At 50.9% G+C, this 25454-nt stretch overlaps 2 protein-coding genes and 1 long non-coding RNA gene across 28 annotated transcripts in view, besides 7 other annotated features; 1 reads left to right on the top strand and 2 right to left on the bottom strand.

Moving 5' to 3' along the window:
• The window catches only part of PTPRU (protein tyrosine phosphatase receptor type U), a 90279-nt gene extending 80900 nt beyond the window's left edge, over positions 1-9379 (bottom strand). For all 4 annotated transcript variants that reach the window (NM_005704.5, NM_133177.4, NM_133178.4 and 1 more), the window contains exon 1: positions 9184-9379. In NM_005704.5, coding sequence (NP_005695.3) covers positions 9184-9256 — 73 coding nt within the window. In that variant the 5' untranslated portion in view covers positions 9257-9379. The remainder of the gene's footprint in view (positions 1-9183) is intronic.
• Positions 479-980: an enhancer, noted in NCBI's record as "H3K4me1 hESC enhancer chr1:29571433-29571934 (GRCh37/hg19 assembly coordinates)". NCBI's record gives its function as "activates a minimal SCP1, AML or CMV promoter by ChIP-STARR-seq in naive H9 embryonic stem cells {active_cell/tissue: H9 hESC(naive)}" and the evidence as "EXISTENCE:reporter gene assay evidence [ECO:0000049][PMID:30033119]".
• Positions 1566-2066: an enhancer, noted in NCBI's record as "H3K4me1 hESC enhancer chr1:29570347-29570847 (GRCh37/hg19 assembly coordinates)". NCBI's record gives its function as "activates a minimal SCP1, AML or CMV promoter by ChIP-STARR-seq in naive H9 embryonic stem cells {active_cell/tissue: H9 hESC(naive)}" and the evidence as "EXISTENCE:reporter gene assay evidence [ECO:0000049][PMID:30033119]".
• Positions 2067-2567: an enhancer, noted in NCBI's record as "H3K4me1 hESC enhancer chr1:29569846-29570346 (GRCh37/hg19 assembly coordinates)". NCBI's record gives its function as "activates a minimal SCP1, AML or CMV promoter by ChIP-STARR-seq in naive H9 embryonic stem cells {active_cell/tissue: H9 hESC(naive)}" and the evidence as "EXISTENCE:reporter gene assay evidence [ECO:0000049][PMID:30033119]".
• Positions 9257-9576: a silencer, noted in NCBI's record as "silent region_556". NCBI's record gives its function as "represses an Ori minimal core promoter by ATAC-STARR-seq in GM12878 lymphoblastoid cells {active_cell/tissue: GM12878}" and the evidence as "EXISTENCE:reporter gene assay evidence [ECO:0000049][PMID:35858748]".
• Positions 14590-15090: an enhancer, noted in NCBI's record as "H3K27ac hESC enhancer chr1:29557323-29557823 (GRCh37/hg19 assembly coordinates)". NCBI's record gives its function as "activates a minimal SCP1, AML or CMV promoter by ChIP-STARR-seq in naive H9 embryonic stem cells {active_cell/tissue: H9 hESC(naive)}" and the evidence as "EXISTENCE:reporter gene assay evidence [ECO:0000049][PMID:30033119]".
• Positions 14956-15065: an enhancer, noted in NCBI's record as "active region_611". NCBI's record gives its function as "activates an Ori minimal core promoter by ATAC-STARR-seq in GM12878 lymphoblastoid cells {active_cell/tissue: GM12878}" and the evidence as "EXISTENCE:reporter gene assay evidence [ECO:0000049][PMID:35858748]".
• MECR (mitochondrial trans-2-enoyl-CoA reductase) overlaps positions 14967-25454 on the top strand; it is a 63239-nt gene continuing 52751 nt past the window's right edge. For 9 of the 23 annotated variants that reach the window (XR_007060748.1, NR_146213.2, NR_146215.2 and 6 more), the window contains exon 1: positions 14967-15170. Coding sequence is in view for 9 of the 23 variants with exons in the window: in NM_016011.5 (NP_057095.4) it covers positions 14995-15170 (176 nt within the window). In the remaining 14 variants the exon portion in view is untranslated. Of the gene's footprint in view, positions 15171-19872; positions 20150-22640; positions 22762-24700; positions 24827-24958; positions 25068-25454 lie in introns of those variants that run through there. The other 14 variants (XR_007060747.1, NR_146214.2, XR_946663.3 and 11 more) reach the window with 8 other exon arrangements.
• Positions 15091-15591: an enhancer, noted in NCBI's record as "H3K27ac hESC enhancer chr1:29556822-29557322 (GRCh37/hg19 assembly coordinates)". NCBI's record gives its function as "activates a minimal SCP1, AML or CMV promoter by ChIP-STARR-seq in naive H9 embryonic stem cells {active_cell/tissue: H9 hESC(naive)}" and the evidence as "EXISTENCE:reporter gene assay evidence [ECO:0000049][PMID:30033119]".
• Positions 21085-22148, bottom strand: LOC124903887 (uncharacterized). Its single transcript, XR_007065564.1, has 2 exons — positions 21290-22148; positions 21085-21178 (listed from the first exon to the last, which is right to left on the bottom strand). It is a non-coding gene; the product is annotated as an uncharacterized LOC124903887 (long non-coding RNA).

Here is a 25454-nt window from a genome sequence, read left to right as displayed (position 1 = left end):
TAGACTGCCTGGTGAGGCAATGGGGTGCAGAATATAAATGCTCTATGACACAAACATGCAATGTGGCCACAGAAAACCATGTGTTGATCTCAGACAGTGGTGCAGTGTGAGCAGCTCCGCCCAGAAACCCAGGAGAATTCACCTTCCCAATGCAACACTGACATCCAGCAGAGTGACACAGTATACAAGAGAGCAGCAAAGACACACACATGGCAGGACCATGGCAGGATCATGGCAGGATGGAGGCACGGTCCAATGGGACAATGCAGAGGCAGAGCATGCAGAAACTCAGGAGAACGCACACCCTCAATGCAATGCAGCAATCCCAGTGAAGTAGAGGGCTGAGACACAGGGCTGTGCAAGGAGGCTGGACCCAGGAATCCCAGACAGTGCACATCCAGAGCAGTCCAGAGCCTGGCACGCTGCAACAGTGTTGCTGGGAGGGTCATGATGCCTCCCTGTGATGCACTGGAGGAGAGGGGAGCTCAGATCCCTGGAAAACTCTCTACCTACAGCTCTGCCCGGCCACGCTGGCTCACCCCACAAGTTGGGGGCCGAAATCTCATCTGGCTTGTCTCCCTCCCTCCAACATCTTCCACCCCAGTGACTCTCCAAGGGCAAAGGCTGAAGCCACTGCCACCCACAGGATAGGCCATCTAGAATCGAGCACATTGTCCAGGTATTATAACTGAGCAGAATCCCAGCATGCTGGCAGGAAAACAATGAATTCAAATTCTGCTGGTAAAGCTCTCAGACAATTAAAGTACAGCCCCTGGCCCCCAGCCCAGGGCAGGACAGAGGAGAGATAGAGAGAAAGACCTATTATTGGATAAGGCCCTGGGACAGGGTGAGCAGGAAGTAGGATGAACAAGAGGTTAGGATGTCAGAGAAGAGCCAGACTCAATCAACCTGGCTAGGCACTCCCCAACCACCACCCCCGTCCCCACCACTATTACTCCCTCCCAGGCCTGGACTTCATCAGAAACCAAGAACAAACTTTTCTGGGCACACAGGATGACCGCACGCATGCAAATACACACATCATAACAGTGATCACTTACACAGTGCTTACTATGTGCAGGACCTGTTCTAACCTACATAATCATAACCATAAAACATATCCTCATGACAAACGCATGCAGTGTGTCCTATTATTATCCCCATTCCACAAATGAGAACTCTAAGGGCCCAGAGAGGTCAGTAACTTACCAAAGTATCACACAGCTAGAAGTGGTGGGCTTAGGATTAGAACCCAGATGGTCTGGGCCCTGAACCCATGCTCTTAACCACCACACGCTAGACAAACACATATTGACAGGCATGCCCAGCCACAAGTCCACATGCACGCTCCTGTAAACACACATACATACACATTCTAAGCAATGTATTTCCCACTCTCAGCTGAGACTCACCTGTCCTATCCACTAGGTTTCTGATAGCTCCCAGTTGTCACCTCTTATCTCCACCTCTTATCTTATCACCCACATCTCCTTGTTCTATCATCCACCTGTCCCCCAACCCTCAGTTGTTCCCCCAATACCGCCTGTCCCTTCACTGTCAGCTGTCCCATCCCCCAGGTATATCTTTCCCACCAGCTATCTTCTATCCGCCAGTGGTCCCCCAGGCCTCAGCTGTCACCCACCACAGTGGACATCTGACAGTGTGCTGCGGTTTTCCGTCTCCTTTTTCCACTAGTCTGGGAGCCCCCGGGGGCTGAGCTGTCACCCCACCCCTAGCTTTAATCTTGCCCTGTCAAATATCCTCAGCATCTCCCCTTCCTAACAGCCCCATCTCAATCTTTCTCCCCAGCTTCTGCCCTCAAACTCCCAAGCCTCAGCGGCCCTCCAAGCCCCCTTTCTCCTTGTCCCTTCTGAGTCATCACAAGGTCTTGTGGTTTGCATCTTGGGAATCTGCCCAAGACCTCCTGCGTCATCTGGAAGCAGCATCTTCTGAGCTGTCCCCCTCAGGGGTCCTCCCACAGTCATTCTGCAGGAAATGGCAGCCCCCAACCCAGAGCCAGAGGAGGAGGCATAGCCAGCCCACCCATGACTGTGCTGCAGAACCCCAGCTCCTGCATTCACCCCTCCAAGCCTTCCCTGTGCACCCAGAGGCATCGAGATGCAGCCACTTAGTGGGCATCTCCCACGTATAGGCCCTGGGGACCACAGATGACAAAGACACAGCTCAGCCCCTGGGGGCTCCCAGCCTAGTGGAAAAAGGAGATGGAAAACCGCAGCACATTGTCAGACGTCCACTATGGGAGAAATTTCACCAACTGCACCGGGAGAGGGCTGGGAAGGCTTCGCTGCATCAGTGACAATGGAGCTGAACTGTGAAGGCTGAACAAGTAGGTAGATCCCCCACCCCCACCACGAGGTGAGAAGTAGGGAGGGGCACAGTGTGTGCAAAGGTAGAGAGGTGTGAACTGGCATGGCAGGCTCCTGGATCAGCAATTTGCCTGGTGATTTGGAGCAGACAGCGGATAGGCAGGAGTGGGATCAGGGAAGAAAGGCATCATGTGAAGCTGCTTCAGAAAGAAAGGGCTGGTCATGCAGGGCCTCATGTGCTATGCTAGGGTTTGGGTTTTGTCCCCTGAGTTCTGGGGAGCCTTCAGCTTGGGACAAAGGAGTGGCAGCATCCTATGTCTGCCTTAGAAGCTTATTCCAGCCACAGGGTGGTGGAAGCATTAGAAACCAAAAGCCTGGGCCGGGCCCGGGGGCTCATGCCTCTAATCCCAGTACTTTGGGAGGCCGAGTCAGGCAGGTCATGAGGTCAGGAGATGGAGACCATCCTGGCTAACACAGTGAAACCCCGTCTTTATTAAAAATACAAAAAATTAGCCGAGCGTGGTGGCACGCGCCTGTAGTCCCAGCTACTTGGGAGGCTGAGGCTGAAGAATTGCTTGAACCCAGGAGGCAGAGGTTGCAGTGAGCCAAGATGGTGCCCCTGCACTCCAGCCTGGGTGACAGAGTGAGACTCCATCTCAAAAAAAAAAAAAGAAACCGAGAGCGTGATGGCAGGCAGAGTAGAGGCCAAGAAGGCTACCAGGCTACTGCAATAGTCCAGGCAAGATCTAATAAGGCTGCAGAGAAGGGGCCTGGATTGAACAAAACCTTTTGTCAAGAGCCACTGAGTCATGGTCCATCCAGACCAATTCCCCTCCCAGAGATGCCCAGGACTCACTGAAGGTGCTGCAGGCCGCCTCATGCCTCTAGACCAGTGCTGTCTGCAGAACTTTCTGAGAGGATGGAAATGTTCTCTGCCTGCATTAACCAGTACAATGAGAGCCACTAGCAACATATGACTCTTGAGGACTTGAAATCTGACTAGTGCAACTGAGGGATTGAATTTTTATTTTAATTAATTTAAATGTAATACCCATACATGACTCAGGAGCCACCGTATTGGAGAATGCAGGTAGAGGACAATTTCCATCACCACAGAAGGTTCTATTAGATAACACAGCTCTAGGCTGACCGTTGAAAAACAGAACTATCGGGGCCCCTTCCAAGGCTTCTGGCTTTGGAGTCTGAAGAGCGATCAGGAGGCAAGTCCCAGGGAAGGGGCTACCAGAGGTTGAGTTGGGTACAGCCACCAGGACATTCCCACCCAACACGTCCACACCCCTTGTGGACACATCCTGGATACATGGACACCACCATAGGTCACAAGGGCACCTCCACATCTAAACATACAAATAGACACATGAGGCCAGGCACAGTGGCTCACACCTGTAATCCCAACACTTTGGGAGGCCGAAGCAGGTGGATCACCTGAGGTCAGGAGTTCAAGACCAGCCTGGCCAACATGGTGAAACCCCATCTCTACTAAAAATACAAAAATTAGCCAGGCATGGTGGCGGGTGCCTGTAATCCCAGCTATTCGGGAGGCTGAGGCAGGAGAATCGCTTGAACCCAGGAGGCAAAGGTTGCAGTGAGCCGAGATCATGCCATTGCACTCCAGCCTGGGTGACAAAGCGAGACTCCATCTGAATAAAAAAGAAGAAAAGGCCGTGCGCTGTGGTTCACGCCTGTAATCTCAGCACTTTGGAAGGCCAAGGCAGGCAGATCACAATGTCAGGAGTTCAAGACCAGCCTGACCAACATGACGAAACCCAGTCTCTACTAAAAATACAAAAATTAGCCAGGCATGGTGGCGTGCGCCTGTAATCCCAGCTACTTAGGAGGCTGAGGCAGGAGAATCACTTGAACCCGGGAGGCGGAGGTTGCAATGAGCCAAGATCACGCCACTGCACTCCAGCCTGGGTGACAGAGTGAGACTCCATCTCAAAAAAAAGAAGAAGAAGAAGAAGAAGAAGAAAAAAAAAAAATAGACACATGGCACCCCACACCCAGACTCACTAACAACTGGATACTTCAATGACTGGGTCCCTGTTGTTTCATACACAGATACCCCCACCCTCAGATACCCGGACACTTGGGGACCCCTACAACCAGACACTCAGGCACCTGGCCAGCCCCATACCTGGACACAACACAGAGACACTCCCCACTTATAAATACCCACTAACCTGAGGACTCCCAGACACATGGATACACCCACCTCCAGCCCCAGGGATGCTGGGATAGCCTCTGTCTGCACACCCTGATCCTCCCACATGCTGGTACTGGGTTGTCCACACCTAGATAGCGAGACACCACCCATCCAAATAGCTCTGCACCCAACTCCAGGAATGTGATACTTGGATAGCCAGACACCCTTAGCACCAGGCTCCCCAGGGGTCAAAGCAGCTGGTTACCTCCCTACTCCAAACTCAGATCCTGCCACACCACACGATAACCAGATGGCTAGACACCCTAACAGGTCACATGTGTCCATGCCCCTAGTTACAATCCCTACACACCCCCCACTCTGACTGCCCAGATGCTAGAGTCACATCTGCACACACCTCAGCCAGCCTCCCCAACCCCATCTGCCAGGGCCACCACGGGATGCAGTTCTCCTCCCTTCCCTCCGGTGCACAAGCGGTGAGAACAGAGGCTGTGACCCCACCCGCCCACCCTAGGATCTAGGACTGAGGACTAAGGGAGGGTCTTCCAGGAAGCTTCCCTCCCTCTCCTAACACAGGGCCCTGCGGGCTCCCTCCCTCCTCCCCAGCCACTCACACAGACCGTTGAGACTCAACGTCTCACCAACTGCCAGGCCCCATCACAAAAGCCTGAGACTGGGGGCTGGAAGGGCCCTGCCAGCTGCTAGGGGTGGGGCCAGAGCCTGGGGGAGGGGCTGGCAGGCAGGAGGCCCGTTCCCTTCAGTCTCTTGCCAGGGACTCAACCTCCCCAACTCAAAGCTCCCAGATGACACTCTCAACATGGCCTTTTCACAACATAACACCATCCCCCACCCTCCAGGAATTTTCCAGATTCCTGGAGGGAAACCTGGTTCTTCAATCTCTACCTTCAGTGGAATCAGTGCACCCCCATCTGGCATCTCCACCTCTGAACCTGGCCCCCTTAAACTTTATTCTTTCAGGCCATATATATTTATTCAGACCCGGTGGGCCAGGCCTTGTACCTGGCACTAAGATTCAGAAGTAAACTAAAAACCCAGTCTCTGTCCTCAGCTCTCAGTCTGGTAAGGGAGACAGCACTAATAAACTGTAATTACAATAATTACAATGCTATGTAAAAATCCAATTGACCCCCACCCCCCGACTTCCTAGGCTAGGACAGGGCATCACCGAGGAAGGCTTCAGGGACTGGATGATGCTTACAGCTGAGAGCCCATCAAGTTGCAGGAGTTCACCAGCAAAAAGCTGGAGTTAGAAAGTTCTGCAGAGAAAGCACGGCTTGCCCAAAGGCCCAGAGAGGAGACAGCAGGCTGTGGGCATTTGGGTCTTTGGTAAGAAGGTCAGGCTGGCCAGATCATAGGATGCAAGGGGCAGTGACACAAAACAAGATGCAGCTGGACAGGCAGGCAGGAGCTAGAGCCAGCAACAGGGCCAAGGGATAAGGACTTCACCCTGAAGGCAATGGGGAGCCTTCAAAGGGTTTTAAACCCTTTGAGTTAAAATGTACTTTACAAAGATCCCTGGCACCATGAGGGAAAGAGGGAAGGAGGAGGCTGGAGTCTTCCTGCAGGTGAAAGATAGCTGAGGACGGACAGAAGGAGACAGATGAAAGAGTCTCTGAGAGGGCAGACAGGACGTTCCAGGATGCAGGAGGGCAACTAGGAAAAGGGGGGAGGGGGAGGAAGGAGGAGCACAAGGTACCCCCTGCAACTCTGGCCAACCCAGTCCTGCATGGAAAGGCCACCCCATATGCCCAGCTGAGCTGATGAAAATCATGGAAGGATGGTGGCCTGTCTCCATCAAGCACGATGCTTGCCCTAGGTTTTTTCTGACACCAGAGCTGGGCAGCAGGCTGTCCAGGAGCTCAGCGTCCCCACCTCGGCCACTGTCACTGCTTCCTGCTAAGTCCCCTCCCCTAGCCCCAGGGAAAAGGGAGGGATGCCCAGACAAGCCTTTATTGCCCAACCTGAAACCACTGGGCAGCCACTCCCTCATTCCTGCCGTCCACAACTCCTGCGACCAAAAGGACAAAATAGCAAGAACACAGCAGAATAAATAACTACCAGGTTTGCAAGGCTGAGAAGGCATCACACACCGCCCCTACCCGGAAGCTCCGGAGCCATTCAGGGAGCTGGGCTGACTCTGTCCAGACTGGGGACAAGGGGTATCACATCTATTCTACTTGGGCTTCTGAGTTCATCTCTAAGAATAACAAAGGGGGCCAGGAACTTTACAAGTGAGGTGATTTGCCAGACATCACATGAATAGCAAGTAGCAGAGGCAGAATTTGACACCTAATACCCCAGCTTTAAATCACAGCCTCTGTCTGGGGCTTTGCAACAACTCTCAAATCCATTTTTTGTTCCCTGGCACTCACAGACAGAGCCTTACTTTACAAGGTACTTGGTATCTACCAAAAGTGCCATACACCATTATCATGATGGCTATGAGGCAGAAGAGGAAACTGAGGCATCAAGAATGGGAGTAACCTGCTCTAGGCCTCACTCCCAAACTTCAGTTCCTGACAGTCCTCCTGCTGGCAGGGCTTGGGGCTTGTGAGTGTTCTTGAAATCAAAGCGATGGTGGTAGGAGCGGGGATGGGGCGCATACAGAACCCCGCGGGTTTGATTTCACGGTGGGAGAGGGAGGCAAAGTTGCCGCAGGACATGGGGGAGAAGTTGGGGAGGATGGGGTGGGAGGTCGCCTTGGGCGTCCTTTCGGGAACGGGGAGGTCAAAGCTAAAGCTGTGCCCTATGGCCCCGGAGCTGCAGGGCGAGGCCCAAGCGCTGGCCAGTGGCCGGCGCGAACGCTGGAGCCACAGGAGTTCCGGCCCGAGACACCGGAGCCAGCAGCAGGGCCGCGAACGCGATGCCGGGGAGGTCAGTTGTCTGCGGCTGGCGACCGTGAGGAAGCGGCTCCGCTCCAGCACGTGTCTCGGCTCGGATCCCGCCCCGGGCGTCTCCCGGCTACCCGGAGCCCGCGGAGCAGCCCCGCCGGTGGCGAGGGCGGGGGAGGTCACCCGGAGCAGGGCCCCGAAACTCCGCGGGAAGGGGCCGCGGTCTAGGATCCCAGGCCTCAGGGTGGGATGTGGAACACGCGCACGCACACACATCCGACACACCGTCCACACTCCGACGAGCACACGGACACACAAACACAGGCTCCGTATACATACATTCAGCTGCGCGCACACACACACGCGCACGCACACCAAAGACACCAGACTCCGAAACACACCCGGAGAACGCGACCACACAGCAGACAAGCGCGGAGCCACACGCTCACACTCACGCTCACACTCAAGCACACACCTGGCGGTCCCGGCCGGCCGGGAGGCCGCACAAAGTTGCAGGCTCCACCAAGGGAGTGTCCCGGGAGGCCCGGGCGTCCCCCGCGCGTCCTGCGCGCCAAGGGAGGGGGCGCCGTCCCCCGGCGGCGAGCCAGGCCCTGCCCGCGCCCGGACGTCGCAGCCCAGCCCGGGGACAGCCCCCGCCCGGCCGCCCGGGGCGCAGCCGCGGCCCGGCCACCGCAGGAGCGCCCGCCGGTCCGGCCCTCCCCTGCCCGCCCGCCGGCCCCTCGCTGGGGCCCGCTGGCCCGGGCGCCCCGCAGCCCCGGCGCCGCCTCGGATCAGCCGCCCGCCAGCGCCGCGCGGAACTTGCGAAACAACAAACAGTCCGACATGCCCGAGGCGGCGGCCGCGGGGCCCGGTCCTCCCCTGAGCCTCGGGCCCTGCCCGACCCGGGCAGCCCAGGGGGCGCCGCCGCGACAACTTGTTCCGGCCCAGCGCGCCACACACGCGCACACGCACACGCGCGCACACACGTCCTGCCACCGCCCCCTCGGGCGGCCCCGGGACCAGGGCACACTCGCAGCCGCGGCCCAGGCGCGCTCCACACTCGCAACATTCCTGGACGCGCAGCCAGCACACACGGACACATTCGCACACACTCACATCCGTTCCAGACTCGCTCCCACACACGCATTCCCGGCACACTTGGCATTCACTCGGACCCACGCGGCCCCCGGCAGCACACACCACATACCCTAGACACTCCCCACACGTACACAGCGCACGGACACACACGTTCCGGACCCGTTCCCACGCCTTCACACATGTACACGGATCTCAAAAGCACACACGCCACACACGCGTTCCCGGATCCACACTCAGGCGGGATCCAGAGAGCACCCTTGGCCACAGGCATAACACAAACACACAACCCACTCGCAGACACAAAACAAACAGCACTCCCGGCCAGGCATACAAAATGCAAACAAATGCAACACATTAGCAGATACAACTCCCGCAACACAACCAAACTCAGATGCACACACAACCCACTTGGCCACACAAACACTACACACTGGCAGACCCACAAGACACTCAGCGCACACCCAATGCCTCGATGCACACAACATTCACCCCCAACATACTCGCCGACACACATCACCTTTTCTTGCGCACAGAACTCACGGACACACAACATTCGCAGTCACGCAACACCCCGGGCACACAATCGCCCATCCTACGCTCAGACACACACAGGGAGCACGCTCGTAACGCCCGGTCACTCAACACTCACACTTTCTTCCGAGCTACGCCACGGGCCCCGAGGCTCGGCGGGGCAGGCTCGGTCCGGCCGCCGCGCGCTTACCTGCCGGAGTCTCGGTCTCCGGCGCGCAGAGCTGGAAGGTGAGTGCCAGCACGAGCGCCTGGGCACGGGCCATGGTTGGAGCGTCGCCGCCCGTCCCGGGGCCCGGCGCGGGGGACGCCGCCCCCGGAGCCCGAGCCCAGCCCGAGGCGAGCCGGAGCCCGAGCCGGAGCGGAGCGGCGCGGCGCGGAGCGGGACTGGCGCCGAGTCCAGAGCGCGAGCCGGAGCAAGCGGGGCGCTGACGTCAGGCCCGGCCGCGGGTTCGGCGGTCTCGCGGCGCTCCCTGCTGGCCACGGCGGGTGCTGCAGCGGGTCCGGCCGCCCGCTAGCCCTGGCGCGCCCCTCCCCCGCTCCCGCATCCTCCCCGCCATGAGGCCCCGCGGCTGGGTCTGGACGCCCACGGACGTCTCCACGGACCGGGCACCAACACTGCCAGGCGAGCACGCTCATGGCCCACGCCTAGCTCCCGTACAGCGCTCTCAGGGACGGTGACCCAGGGACACCCGGCCTCTGTCCCATCCGATGCCTGAATCCCTTGTACCTTGGCGCCTTCAAATGCGTGTTCTACATACCTCCAGGAACAGGGCGCTCATCACCTGGCCAAGAGCGGTTGTTGGGGCTTTGGAAACGCCGGCTTTTAGAAAGTTTTTCATTTCATGACGTGCAAGTCTACCTCCCTCACTAGCCCTCACTGGTCCTACTCTACCTTCTGGCTACACAGGTTAAATGTATTTGGGCCTCTACCCAGAACGAGCCCTCGCACTATGATCTGCAAACTCGTTGCTCATTACTATGTAAGACCAGGTACCTTCTATGTGTTTAACCCACATGGACTCATTTAATCATCATATATTAGGTATGCAATAATTATACTGCATAAATACTGTTATGCAACAGTATTTGACAGCACCGAGATTTGAATCAAAGTTGTTTGGTTTGAATTGAATAGGGGCTGAGACCTTCCTCCCATCTGGACACCTATTCATTCAACAAATATTTATTGGGGTCTATTCATTTATTCAACAATTACTATAGGCCAGGGTAGAGATATAAAACAGACAAAAATTCCCTACTCTCATGGACCTTACATTCCAGTGGGAAGACAAGAACAGTAAACAACCAAAAAAACAAAAACAAAAAAGCAAACCCTCTGGTGTACGTCCTTTATCACTGTCTCATACACCAGGAAATTTGGGGGTGGTGGGGGGACAGGGAAGGGAAGGGGAATTGTTGCAATTTCAAATAGAGTGCGGGCTATATGATGAGTTCATTATCTGTCTCCACCTCTAGAAATGAGCTCCCTTGGGAAAAGACTCATCTTGTATTTCCGTGCCCAGTATATGGCATGTTTTTATTATTTTATTTTATTTTATTTTATTTCAAGATGGAGTTTCACTCTTGTTGCCCAGGCTGGAGTGCAATGGCGCAGTCTTGGCTCATTGCAACCTCTGCCTCCCAGGCTCCAACAATTCTCCTGGCTCAGCCTCCCAAGTAACTGGGATTACAGGTGCCCACCACCACGCCCGGCTAATTTTCGTATTTTTAGTAGAGACAGGGTTTCACCATGTTGGCCAGGCTGGTCTGGAACTCCTGACCTCAGGTGATCCACCTGCCTCAGTCTCCCAATGTGCAGGGATTACAGGCGTGAGCCACCGCGCCCGGCCTCTGGCACGTAATTGATGCTCAATAAATACTGACTGGATGGAATGAATGAAAGGGAAATGGTCCTAGCCTTCATGAATCTTACATTCTATTAGGAGAGCCCAACAGCAAACATGTACATAAATATATCATTACCATCTAAGATATGCAAGCTAAAGGAAACGAGGGAGTATAATGATAAAGAACATAGGGAAGGGGCATCTCCTTTAGATAAGTGGTCCAAGAGGGCTTTGCTATAGAAGTGACATGGTGACATTTGAACTGAGACCTGAAGTATGAGAAGGAGCCAACCTCATGCAAATCAGTGGAGAGGAACATTGCAGTCAGAGGGGACAGCCTGTGCAAAGGCAGGAGCTGGTGGGTACAAGCAGCTGCAAGGAAGCCGGGCAGCTGGCATGGAGTGAGTCAGGGGCAGAAGGGAGCCAGGTGCAGCTAGACAAGTCAGCAGGGTCTGTAGGTCAGGCAAGAAACTATGAGCAAGGAAGGGGCTTGAGGTTCAACCCTAAGAGTAATTAATGGGAGGCCACTGAAGTGGAGTAATTAAGCAGAGGAGTAATAAGGAGTAATAAGTTCTGATCTCTGGGTTTTTTTTTTTTTGTTTTTTTTTTTTTACAGCTCCAGCTATAAAGACTGCTGAAGTAGGGAAAGCCATGGGCAGATGGGTCTGACCACTGGGCAGTGACACTGAACAAAGCGTAGGAGTTCAAGGTATATGTAGGCCCTCCCTGTGCCCTGCCCCTCCTAGCTGGCTTCATGCTGAGATGGACACACCTTGAAGCTGCCCTGGGGCTGGAGGAGGTATCGCTGGGTTGAGAGTTCCTGGGCTCTTGGTCTCCTCTCTTGTGAGAGCTGATGAGCTCCACACTGAGTTAGGAAAGGGACCAAAAGACACAGCAGGCAAGAATTAGACACAGATAATTAAATAGGGAGAGGGAGGCAGAAGCAAGAAGAAACCAAGGGGAAACCTTAGGGAAGAAACTAAGATACAGAGACGCTGGAGCAGAGAGGAGCCAGAGAGGCCCACCCAGAAAAGGAAACTCAAGGAGAGAAAACCAGTGAACAGAAGAAACAACCAAGGGTGCTGTTTGCAGAGGGCTCTTGAGAGAGCCTCAAAATAGGAGTTTTACCAGTGATCCCATTTTACGGGTGTGGAAACTGAGGTTCAGAGAGCATATGACACTTGCCTAAGGTGACACAGCTAGTAAATAGACGGCGGGCCCTAGATTTGAACCCAGATCTGACTGATTCCACATCCCTTTGCCCTTTGTGCAGGGGAAGATGGCAGAGACTATAATGGAGGGAGAAAGAGAACACAAGCAACAGGTAGACAGATGAGAAGAGGACTTTCTGCTTTACTTTTAAAAGACCACAAACTTCAGCCGGGCACAGTGGTTCACACCTGTAATCCCAGCATTTTGGGAGGCAGAGGCGAGGTCAGGAGTTTGAGACCAGCCTGACTAACATGGTGAAACCCTGTCTCTACTAAAAAAAAAAAAAATACAAAAATTAGCCAGACGTAGTTGCGGGCACCTGTAATCCCAGCTACTCAGGAGGCTGAGGCAGGAGAATTGCTTGAACCTGGGAGGCGGAGGTTGCAGTGAGCCAAGATCGCGCCATTGCACTCCAGCCTGGGCAACGAGCAAAACTCTGTCTCAAAAAAAAAAAAAAAAAAAAAAAAAGACCACAGACTTCTATAATCCTTGAGAGAAGAAGGAAGAAGGAAATTCCTGGCCTGGAGTGACCAGCCCAAATCTAGGGAAAAGGAGATGGCACCACAGACCGTTCTAGGCCATGAGGAAATTCAATTACCTGCAACTCATGGAATATTTATGACACCTACCCTGTGCCAGGCTCATATCGGGTGCTGGTGTTATGGAGATAAACCAAACATGGCTCCAGTCTTGCCTGGAGGGGAATAAATAAGAGACGATGTACTAAAGGCCATAACACAGCTCCAGGGAAAACACAAAGGCAGCAGCAGATGACCTAGGGAGTTTTGAAACATCAAAGAAATGACATCTGAACCTGGAGTTTCCGAGGCAGGGAACAGCATTTCAGGCAGAAGGAGTGGCCTGAATAAAGGCACAAGACACACTGGGGAAGACGGGTATCAGATGCAGCTGGATCACAGGCTATGCACGGTCCAACAGGAGAAGATGAAGCTGGAAATGCAGTGTGGGAGTCAGAGTGCAAAGAATCTTGAATGCAAGTCCAGGAAATTGGACTTGAACCCCTCAGTCAGTAGTTCTCAAACTATGCCCCTGCAAGAACCCAGATGGCCTAGACTAAAAGTGAGGGCTATTGGGATGCACAGGAGGCTAAAGTCCAGCCCCAAGGAGGAGGACTTGCTGGATGATTCTTCAGGCTTCCTGACTGGGCTCCCCAGAAATTCAGAGGAGCCAATTTGGTGAAGAAGAGAATGTCGACATCTCAATGTCACCTAGGGAGTCTTACAACAGAAGGTTACGTTGTACTTCCCAGTTCAAGTAAGCCTATGTGTCACTGGGGAAAAGGGTAAGCAGGACTGGTCATCGTGTGTGTGCTGGCACATAAATGTGGGGCCAAGCCTTTCCCCCACCATGGGACACCAACTTTCTCTAATAATAAAAACAAGTACAGACATTTAGTGAGCACATACTATAAGCCAGACCCTAGTCTGAGGGTTTTATGTGTGATATTTCTCATTTAATCACAATAACCCCCGATAATATTTATCAAATGCTTCCATGTGCCAAGCATTGTACTAAATGCTTCAAGTGGATAATATCTCACTTGACCCTCACAACAATCTTGAAACAGATAACTAGTATTCCTTCCATTTTAAGAGTAAGAAAGTGAAGACACAGAGAGGCCTGGTGACTTGTCCGAAATCAAATGGCTGGAAAATGGCAGAGCTAGGACATAAAGCCAGGTTTGTCCAAATCTAGCTCACAGTACTTTGCTGTGCTCTCTTCCTCAGAGGAAAGGCTTGGAGATGGCAAGCTTCAAGTCAATAAAATCCAGGAAAGGAACTCTTCCTTATCCTTCAAAGCCCTGGCTCAGTATCTTAAAACCTGTTTCCTGGGACACCTGCATCAGAATATTCTTGGGAGCTTGTAAGGATGTAGATTCCTGGAACCCCCATCCGCAAGATTCTAATTCAGTAGGTCTAAGATGGGACCTCGGATTATTTTTATGCACACAGAAGATTTTGAATCACAGGGCTGGCTCTAACAGCACCTCCTCCAAGAGCCCCCACCCCATCCCACCCCATCCCAGAGCACTTCTCTTCAGACTACAGCATTGCACTCTGGCACGAGCCACAGCTCGATCTGGGGTTTTAGTAATGTTCATGTCTTCCCTACACCAAAAATCAGACTAGATCCTTCATAGGGCTACACCTTTTTACAGGCATTTCCAGTGTTCCACTTAATCCCTTTCTACACTGTGAGCATTTTGAGAGAGGACCCTTCTCCTTGTGATTCCTGTCTTACATCTGAACAGAGTTTTTTACAATGCGTTCTCCCACCCACAATAGCATTCCTCTATTATTTCATCCAATCCTCACAACAATCCGGAAGGAGGCATATTATCCCCATTGTACCGATGAGAAAAATTCAGAGTTTCACCTGCCCAAGGTGGCCAAGCTAGGAAGTGGCAGGGCTAGGATTTGAACCTAAGTTTTCTAACTCCAAGCCCCATACTCCTGCCTCCACAGCAGCTTTCGTGTACTCTCCTCAGTGTAGGGAAGTAAGCTTTGCCTCCCTATGCCGTTACATGGTAGTGGTGATTAAATGAGATAATACCTTAAAGAGCCTGGCTCGGTGAGCACTCAATATATTATGTGAAGGGTAAACTGAGGCCAGGGAGAGTAAATATTTCCTCCAAATCAAACACCAAACTGCAGGCTGTAGACACGACTTTGGACTAGCCCCAGACTCTCCTTGTTGAGACAACAGCTTTGGCGGCCTCGCAAGCTCCGCACCCCCGGATCCCTCCGGGGCCCACACGCAGTCTAGCCAGGCGCCACCACTTGGGCAGCGAAGGAAGGAAACGCCCTTCAAAGGGACCAAGGGGGAGTGGTCACCCGGCGGGGCAGGGGCGGGGCGCAGGCGCGCGGTCGCTGGAAGATGACGTAGCCGGGGCGTCAGGCTCTGTGTTGGTTGGAGCGAGCATGTGGGTCTGCAGTACCCTGTGGCGGGTGCGAACCCCCGCCCGGCAGTGGCGGGGGCTGCTCCCAGCTTCTGGCTGTCACGGACCTGCCGCCTCCTCCTACTCCGCATCCGCCGAGCCTGCCCGGGTCCGGGCGCTTGTCTATGGGCACCACGGGGATCCAGCCAAGGTCGTCGAGTAAGAGACGGCGCCGAAGCCGGGGAAGGGGACTGGGGTTTCTGGAAGGCTTTAACACGAGCTGCGGACTGGGAAGAGAGGGACAGGGTCCGAGGAAGGGGGCAGAGAATAGCAAACCGAAGCCGAAGCCCAGGGCGTTTTTGGTAGGTCAGAAAGACCGTACTTGAAGGTAGCTGAAGACCCGAGAGGCAATTATCAGGGTATTAATGGCTGATGTTTATTGATCGAATATTGTGTCAGGCAATCCCTTGTTTAAATGGATGCTCTCATTTAATTGTCACAACAATGTTTTGGGGTAGTTATTGATTTATCCCCATTTTGCAGATGAAAACTGAGGCAGAAGAGGTAAAATCACTCGTCCAAGGTCACACAGCCAGTAAGTGACAGGGTCAGAATTCCAACCTATGTCTGACTGACCTGCGTGAGTTCTTACTATTATTATTATTATTTGGAAGAAGTTTTCAGAATACTTTTACATCCATTTGGATCTTCATGTGTCAGTAAAGAGTAGGTCATAGATCATTGTTTCCAGAGGGCAAGGGACTTGCCCAGAGTGATACCGCTAATAAGTGATTGGAACAGGAGACTGGAATCCATGGCTTCTGATTCCAAACTCATGTTTCTCTCCACTGCACCGTATATGCATCTTGGCTTGGTTAAAAAGAGCTGCTTTGGTGCCATACAGACCCAAGTATCTATATTTGGTCAAATACAGGCTCAACGTCTTAGTAGCTGTTTGGTCTTAGAGAAGTCATTCAACTTCTCGTTACTTTTATGACTTTGTCCTCCTCCTAAAATTCTGTTGGATCTTAATTCATGCTTTTTGCACGTGGTTGATAAAAATAGTATGTCAGTTGCCAACCATTGTAAATCTGCACATAAATAGCCATTCAGAAGGGCTATTGGGGCCACTGAAGTGGAGCTAAAGCAAAAGCACAGGTCTGGGAATCAAAATACTTGGGGTCAAATCCTTGTCCTAGCTTTGCATTTGGCAAGTTACTGAGGTTCTCTGAGCCTCGGTTTCATCATCTTAAAAAATGGAGACAGTACAGACAAAGTTCATAGTGGTAATCACCTAAGATCTATGTAGTGCTCTCCACCAAAAAACACCTGCATACTCTTGTGCAGTACCTTCTTTTTAACTCTTTGATTCCCAGCAAATAGTTTGATTATTTTCCAAAGGATGGGCAAATGTGGTATTACTTTAATGGTTAAAATTCAGGCTAGAGCTGGGCACGGTGGCTCACGCCTGTAATCCCAGCATTAGGGAGACTGAGGCGGGTGGATCACCTGAGGTCACGAGTTCTAGACCAGCCTGGCCAACGTGGCGAAACCCCATCTCTACTAAAAATACAAAAAAATTAGCCGGGCTTGGTGGTGGGCACCTGTAATCCCTGCTACTCAGGAGGCTGAGGCAGGAGAACCGCTTGAACCCAGGAGGCGGAGGTTGCAGTGAGTCGAGATTGCGCCACTGCACTCCAGCCTGGGCAACAGAGCGAGACTCTGTCTCAAAAAAAAAAAAAAATCAAGCTAGATGTTTTGACAGGTGGTGAGGATAAGCCTCAGATAAATTCAAGGTCATCCAATCAGCCTAGCCACATCCCGCATTATAGAAACGAAAAGAATGTCAAGAAGACACATCAGTCAGTAAACTCCAAATTGTATGTTGATCGTAGGTAATAAAGCATTGTGTCAGGGAAGACATCTCACTAAGGACTGCGTTGTAAGGAACTGGTACAGCTCTGATGAACACTCCTCCATTTCCAGGAATGTACCCCAAATGAGAACCATGTAGTGTCTCTCCCACGGACTTGTAGTTTGTGTCTGCAGCAGGACCTGCCACAAAACAGGTGCTCCTAAAATGTTAGTTCAATCTAAATCTAAATTTCCAAAAAAAGTGAACCTTTTATTAAGTTCTGCTGTGGTGATGAGGAAGGCCTGGGAAAGTTCAGCTGAATGCAGTTGCCTCCTAATTGATTCCCTCCTCTTGGAGAGCCAGAGAAGCTGGAACAGACCGGTCTGTTTGCAGATGCCACTTAGGAAAAAAAAAAGCTTCTATTATGTCCTTCTGTGGAACTTCAGTAATTTCCCTCTAGTTCAAAACATGATACTTCCAACCGGGCGCGATGGCTCATGCCTGTAATCCCTGCACTTTGGGAGGCTAACATGGGCAGATCATGGCGAAACCCTGTCTCTACTAAAAATACAAAAATTAGCTGGGCATGGGGGTGCAAGCCTGTAGTTCCAGCTACTCGGGAGGCTGAGGCAGGAGAATTGCCTGAACTGGGAGGCAGAGGTTGCAGTGAGCCGAGATCGCGCCATTGAACTTTAGCCTGGGTAACAGAGCAAGACTTCCTCTCAAAAAAAAAAAAAAAAAGATACTTCCACAAAGCATTATATTCAACTTTGGCTTCACAGCACAGTCACCATTTGTAGTGCTTTTATTTTTTGTATTTGCCCACATAAAATATCAGACAGCTTTTATTTTATATATATATTTATTTATTTATTTATTTATTTTGAGATGAGATCATGCCATGTTGCCCAGGCTGGTCTTGAACTCCTGGGCTCAAGGGATCCTCCCACCTCAGCCTCCTGAGTAGCAGGGATTGCAGGTGTGTACCACCACACCCAGCTTGACCTGTAGTGCTTTTAGAAACTACCGTATGTATTCCTAGGCCCCACTCCTGAGGTACTTAGTAGGTCTAGGATGGCTTGGAGCTTCTGTTTTTTTCAAAGCTCTCCAGGTGACTCTGCTGCCCAGGCCAGGCTTGAGAACCACTGCCTTGTGGATACAGATTGTCAGACAAGCAGTAATTCTCTCCGTGCTCCAGAAGGGCAACTTTACTTTCTGACCCAGATTCAGGCGGCTTTACTTGTTCTCGTATGGACTGAAGCCAGAGACTGGGATTCTCTTTGTAGTCATGTCTTACAAGGTTTAGGGTAACCACACTGTCACAGAAAGAATCAGGTGTCCTTTACACATCCTGGTAACTGGCTGTCTGGGTCAGGTTACACCAGGTAGGGGTCATGGGACTACCTAGAGTCTGAACAGAGCATTGTCAGAACTAGTGTGGTTTGTGATGCTTGCGCTGTGGGCCACACCTCTGCAAGCAGGAGGGAAGGAATGAGGAACAGCCTTCTCAGGTCTGAATCCTCAAAAGGAGGCCTCCAGGTTTCTCCTGTTCTCACGTCCCTGTTTTCATTCCTGTTGGCCTCCAAACATTGCAGCTGTTCTCTCCTAAGCCATTTTCCCCTGTTGCTTAGTTTCTTTCCCTTTCTTCCAAAATGGGATTCCCTAAATAAGTATTTGGGCCTTTTTTATTTAAAAGATTAAACTGTAGATCTAAGTAAAGTAAGACTGTGCAGAAGAATGACAAACATTTGAGAAATTTCAGAGTTCTCCATAGCCACTGTCCCTTGTGCAGAGTTCTAGATTCCCTATCAGATAGTTCCCAGAAACCCAGGGGCCAGGCATGGTGGCTCATGCCTGTAATCCCAGCACTTTGGGAGGCCGAGGCGGGCGGATCACCAGAGGTCAGGTGCTCGAGACCAGCCTGGCCACATGTCGAAACCCTGTCTCTACTAAAAATACAAAAATTAGTCGGGCACAGTGGTGCATGCCTGTAATCCTAGCTACTCGGGAGACCGAGGCAGGAGAATCGCTTGAACCCAGGAGGCAGAGGTTGCAGTGAGCTGAGATTGCACCACACCACTGCACTCCAGCCTCAGCGACAGAGTGAGGCTGTGTCTCAAAAAAAAAAAAAAAAAAAAAAAAGATAGTTCCCAGAAACGCTTAGTTCTTCTCTTGCCTTCTTTTTTTCCTGAAAGTCCGCTCAGAACTTTGCCATTCTCTGGATCTTCTGGTGAAAACAGCTTTCATTTATTGTATACCTGCTGTATAGCAAGCATTGGACTAAATGCTCCCTGTATATTACGGGGTTTTAAAATCAAAACACTCCAGTTTGGTTATTATTACTTCCACTTTACAGATAAGGAAATTGAAGCTCAAGTAGATTGAAAGGCACTTATCCGAGATCTTACAGCTAGGATGCCCCTTCTTTATTAAAAGTCCTTGATATAGACATAGGCCTGAGGAAACAACAGCAGTCACCTCAAATGATTTCTTCAAATAAACTTTTTTAAATATTTTAAATAAAAAATATAGATGGGGTTTCACCATGTTGCCCAAGATGATCTCAAACACCTCAGCTCAAGCGATCCTTCTGCCTCAACCTCCCAAAGTCTCAAATGATTTTTGAGAATGAGATGGACTATAAAATTGGGAAAAAGGTCAGAAGAGAAGGTGAAATTGTAGGTCATTCAGGTAACCCCAAATTTCTACGCTGTAGAAAGGGCAGCCCCAATCCTGGGAAAGTTTAGAAATACCATTCTCTGTCTCCTCCCCTTTTCAGGATCCCGAGGCTTTTGTAAAACAGCATCCTGATCATCTTGGCTTTCTCACCTGCCTGCTGCTAGTACAACAATGAAACTAAGCTGGAGCTGGAAACCCGTGGACATATACCCGTTCTGTCTTTTTTTTTTTTTTTTTTTTTTTTTTTTAGATAGAGCCTGGCTCTGTCCCCCAGGCTGGAGTGCAGTGGTGCAATCTCGGCTCACTGCAACCTCCACCTCCCAGGTTCAAGTGATTCTCCTGCCTCAGCCTCCTGAGTAGCTGGGATTACAGGCGCGTGCCACCACACCCAGCTAATTTTTGTATTTTTAGTGAAGACAGGGTTTCGCCATGTTGGCCAGGCTGGTCTTGAACTCTTGACCTCAGGTGATCCACCTGCCTCAGCCTCCCAAATTGCTGGGATTACAGGCATGAGCCACGGCACCCGGCCTACCCATTCTGTCTTAAGCCAGATGGACTTTGGAGGAGCAGGTAGTGGGGCCCCAGTCTGTCCATTCTCACTATAGGGCACTGTTTACTCTCAGGAATTTCTTCTTTTTACAGTTAATATAAAGCAAAACTGCAGGTGACTTGATTTTTAAACCCACATTTTAGTACTTTGGGGAAAAAATAGCATTTTGGGTTTGGTGCTCTGTTTAGAGCTCTTTATTGTGGTCATGAATGGAGTGGGAACAGAAGGCATTGATATAGTAAGTTGGCCAGCATGTATTCTTTGAGAGTTTACTGAGTGCAAGGCACTGAGGGTACAGAGTTGAATCTGTTGTGGTCGTTGCCCTCAGAGCCTCACAGCCTAATCCAGGAGAAAGGCCGCCATAGTCCAGTGGGGTAAATGCTGTGATGGGATATGTTCAGAGTCCTGTGGACACCCAGAAGGGGGTTACCTAACCCCCTCGGGTTAGTCAGAGTGTTCTCTGAAGAGACAGGGTGTAAACTGAGTGCTCCAGAGATCCGGTGAGCAGTGTATGAGGAGAGAAAGTGGGGAAATGTCCCAAGCAGAGGAACCTGCATGTGCAGAGACCCCGAGGGAAGAGAAAACATGGTGTGTGTGATCAGTCCGTATTTGTTGACTGCCTACTGTGCACTCATGTAATCCTGTGAGAAAGGTGTCTGCTGAAACCAGCTCAGAGGGGACTACCCTTAGATCACAGGGCTCAAGCTTAAGCGGATTCCACATCCTATAACTCATACATTACCTTCCATCTGGCCTTTAGACTAGGCTGTGGAGTTTAGGGCCAAGCCCTGCTACCCTGGTTTTCTCACTGTTGCCTCTGAAGGTGAAAGCTGCAGGCACACCCCCTAGGAATCACACAAAAGACTGGGGTTTTCCCTCCGTCCAGAGAGTCCGGGAGGAAAGCTGCCCCTCGGAGCCACTCCAAGTTGTCTCTTGCCCTCTCCTAGCAGCTCTCTGGGATGAACTGGCCTTTCCCACCCTGGGTGAGGTGGGAGGGGTCCTCATTTTAGAGAAGGAAAAGCAAAGATGACACAAGGTGAACCTGTGACTTGGGATGTTTCTTGCCTGTGTTCCAGTCCCACCTCTGCCACTAATTATGGCAGTGAGGAAATCACGTTAGTCTCCAATTATCTTCAGTTACTCCTTGATAAAATGAAGAGAGTGACCAAGGTCAGCAGTGGTAAATATGGGTATGTGTGCTGTCCCCATGCAGACCTTCACAGTCCCTTTCTGTAGACCTCAAAACCTACACACCTCTTTATCACATTCTCCCCAGACAACGCTCTTCCTGCCAAGACAAGACGGGCCCTCAACATCCTTCTCAGCATAACACTGCAGCCATGGAAATTATCATGAGACGTGAATCCTCTTTGCTCCAACAATTGTCCGGCTGTGACAATTCTAGGAAAGTAACACAGGCATTGACTGCCTGCTCACCAATGGTTGTTCCAGCAGCCTCCAGGGAGCAATGATTTTGTTTGAAATCTGGGATCCTGGGCACAAGATGTTACCAAGGACCCCCTCTTGGCCCTTGGTTCATTACACAATCAATAGCCCTCCCAGCCTCCAGCCAGACAGGAGCTGCATGGTTGTGTTTTTACCTGTCAAAGAGATCCAAGCAGCTTGCAGGTAGGGACTGTGCCCCCAAGAGTTGGTCCTCAGCAAGTTGAGTGACAGACTGCAACTCCCTTGTAGTGGAGTTTCCCTGGTGTCAGCAGATGTAGCATATCATGGGGCCTGCAGACTTTCTGGTCCTCTTAGTTTAGGGTAAGTAGGGGATTGAGAAGGTTTCTTTGCCAACTGGGTAGAAACTTCCAGAAGTTGCCCTAAGTCTCTGATTCCTTCAGTTCAAAACAATTGTGCTAAAGAGCCAAAAAATGAGTCCTGAATGGTGGGAGTCCTGGAAGCCGTAAGAGGTGCAGGGAGGGTGTGGCTGTGTCCAGCACACCAAACCACCTGGAACAAAGGAGCTTTGCTCAGGCAAAGGAGCTCTCCCCGAGAGCCCAGGACTCCCTTAGTTCCCTGGGAGCCAGGCCCTTACAAGCTGCGAGCTGAGGAACTTCATTCCTTCACAATTGCCTAGTTGTGCCCTGCTTATTAATTATTAGTCAAATCCCAGAACAATGTACCTAGCACACCAGGCATTTCACTGAATCACAGAAGGCAGTTTGGTGACCAGGGGACCACAGACAGACTGGGGAGGACCACAGGAGGGTCAGTTACATTCACCCGGTGCCCTGTGATGACACAAACGTTCTTGATTCTGTACTAAGTCGGTGCCCTGTGATGACACAAACATTCTTGGTTCTGTACTAAGTAGACGAGAAAGTCTCTGGCCAGTGACAATTTCTCCCTACCTCTTCTTCCTGCTCAAAATGATATTGACCGTTTGATGTGATTGAGTAAAAGATGAAAGATAAGTACAAATGATTGCTAATTAAATGTGGAACGCAGGAAAGATATCTCAGCAGAGCTAGCTAATGCCCACCTTACACAGCAAGTATAACTGTGCCAGTCCCCAGGGTACTGGCCTCTTTTCCCCCCTCTCAAAAGGCTCTTTCTTCTGCCTGCTTTTGTCTCCCTTGTACTTCATATGGCATCACAGGTGTACAGCCTTGGCCTCAAAGGAGCCATTGTGACCTTATCCAGGCTGGGATCTGTTGATTGAGGACAGTGGCATCCCCTCGAGTTGCATGGCGCCATTACATTCACGGAGGACGTGAACGGTATGGGGGAAGCAATTTGAGATCTAGCCAGGCTGGGTTGGGTGCCTCATTTGTACTCCAAAACATAGCCACTGTTTCCTTTGGTGAGTTTTGTTTGTTTGTTTTTTTAAAGAACAGGGAAGAAATTGCTATCATTACACTAGAGGTTTAACTCTTGGAATTCAGACTTGGTCCCTGTTTTCCCTCCTGTCTCAGCAGAATGGTATCCTTGACAACATGGTTAGCACTGTCTGCAGGAACAGCAGTGTCTGTGGTATTGATGGCATTCCCTGGGGCAGGCCAAGGCTGGCCTCCCTGGTGAGAGGCAGCTGGACCCCCCCACCCCCAGGCTTGCAGCAAATGTGGGGCCAGCCCCCGACACCATCCACCTGTGTTTGCAGCTTCAACTTAACTTCCCATCTCCTAAACCCTCACCCCTGCTTGGCCCTCTTCACTCTCCTTCTCTCCCACTTCAGTGAATCTCAAATGGCAGAGCTGCTGGGCTTCCCAGAAGACAAAGAAGAGAACGAGGGGCCCAGAGCATCGTTTCTCAAACTGCTGTTTGGGGCAGGCTGTGCTGTGAAAATACTGTAATGTTCCCAGCCCACATTAAATCTGGAAAGCTCTGGATGACACAGGCCACATGGGTTTCTTTATTCCGGGACTTCTCAGAGCCTTTATGACTAACGTGTAGTCAGAATCTTAGAAAAGGGGCTTAGTAGGCAGCATTTCCCAAACAAATTGGATCGCAGGAAATACCTAACAGCCAGGTGCAGTGGCTCACACCTGTAATCCCAGCATTTTGGGAGGCCCAGGCGGGTGGATCATGAGGTCAGGAGTTTGAGACCAGCCTGACCAACATGATAAAACCCTGTCTCTACTAAAAATACAAAAAAAAAATTAGCCAGGCGTGGTGGCACGCACCTGTAATCCCAGCTACTCAGGAGGCTGAGGCAGGAGAATTCCTTGAACCCGGGAGGCGGAGCTTGCAGTGAGCCAAGATTGTGCCACAGCACTCCAGCCTGGGCGACAAAGCGAGACTCTGTCTCAAAAAAAAGAAAAGAAATACCTAACAGTATCTCCAAGAAAAATTCAGCACACACAGCGTAGTGAATGCTGGTGTAGGGTTCAACAGCCTGCATTTTGGAGTCTAGCTTAAGATCAAGACTCTTGAGTAAATTATTTCTCTGAGCCTCAGTTTCCTTTCCATTAAATTTGGGTGATACCACCCTCCACATAGGCATTTTGAGGACTGAACGGCAGTCAGTCCTCATGTATATAAAATGTTAAGCATACTTGGAGCTCAGTAAGCCATCGACATAAGTTGTCATTTCATTGTTCAGTGAAATCACCCAGAATAAGTTTTTCGACTCTCCTAGACTCCACCCACCCAGCCAACTCACAGTTCTGTATGTCTAGCCCTGAGCACTCTCTGCTCTGTATCCATACTGCAGGTCACCTGTGTCCCCTCTCCAAATCTACTCTTCCTTCCTCCCTAGCTCAGCATTCAGTTGTCCAAGCCAAAGGCCTGGGAGCCATCAAAGACTTCTCTTCCCTCCCGCCACATGGAACTGATCACCAAGTGACATTAGTGTCGCTTATTTAAGAGATTTTACATTATTGAATCCTCTCCATTCTCCTGGCTCTTATGCAGATTACACCTGTTGCCTGGTCTACTCCTGGGTCAGATTCTTTGTCATTCCCTCTGGCAGGAAAACCTTTTGTCTTTTCTCCATCCGCCCTGTAAATGCCTATTTATCCTTCAAACTATGGTATCCTTTCTTCCAAAGACCCTTTTCTAATCTTCTGTTTCCTTCCTCCCACCAGGCTAGACACTGTCAGCCAACCTCAGCACCACAAGCCTCCCTCTATTATAGCCCTTCTCCCAGTGTTTCCACGGATGGGTTCCCAGTCCATCAAGGCCCTGAGAAGGGGATTTTTTTTTTTTCCCCTGAGACAGGGTCTCCTGTTGCCCAGGCTAGAGTGCAGTGGTCATTCACAGGTGTGATGATGGTACACAATAGCCTTGAACTCCTGAGCACAAGCAACTCTCCTTCCTCAGCCTCCCAAGTAGCTGGGACTACAGGTGCGTGCTACCATGCCCACCTTTATTCATCATGAAACCCCTTGGCACAGTATCTGATACTTCGACTGTCCATAAATATTTGTTGAATTACGTTTACTTGAATTTTCCAAAACGTTGCTGTCTTCCTTTCAGTGACTCAGTGATTCTTTTCAGAGGTATAACCAGGGAATTGTTCCAGAGGTTTCCTTGGATATTCCTACAACTGATAACAGCTGTCATTTCTTCAGCATCTACTGTGTAGGTACTACCATAAATGCTTTACATACATTAACTCATTTAATCCCGTGAACTGAGTTCTCGTGTTATCCCATTTTACGGAGGAATATTCTGAGGTTTATCTAGCTGATAAATGACCAAGGTAGGATTCAAACCCAGGGCTGTCTGCTTCACTCAAGATCTGTGCTCTACCCATCATCTATGAACTGAGATCTACCTGTATTCTCATCTTGACCACGGTCATCTAGATTTTTAAGAAGTGCAGTGTCACTGCACGTGAGATGTGTATGCCTAGACTGAATGCTCTTAAGGATAATCTCCATCTTTATTTGAGCCCATCTTGCAGGAGTATTTTCCTAAACAGCCTAAAACGAGGAAGAGCAAGTTCAAATAGCTAAGTCCCTTTGGTTTG

This window comes from Homo sapiens, chromosome 1 (genome assembly GCF_000001405.40).
Source record: "Homo sapiens chromosome 1, GRCh38.p14 Primary Assembly".
NCBI classification, from domain to species: domain Eukaryota; kingdom Metazoa; phylum Chordata; class Mammalia; order Primates; family Hominidae; genus Homo; species Homo sapiens.
This window is presented reverse-complemented; position numbering and strand designations above follow the sequence as displayed.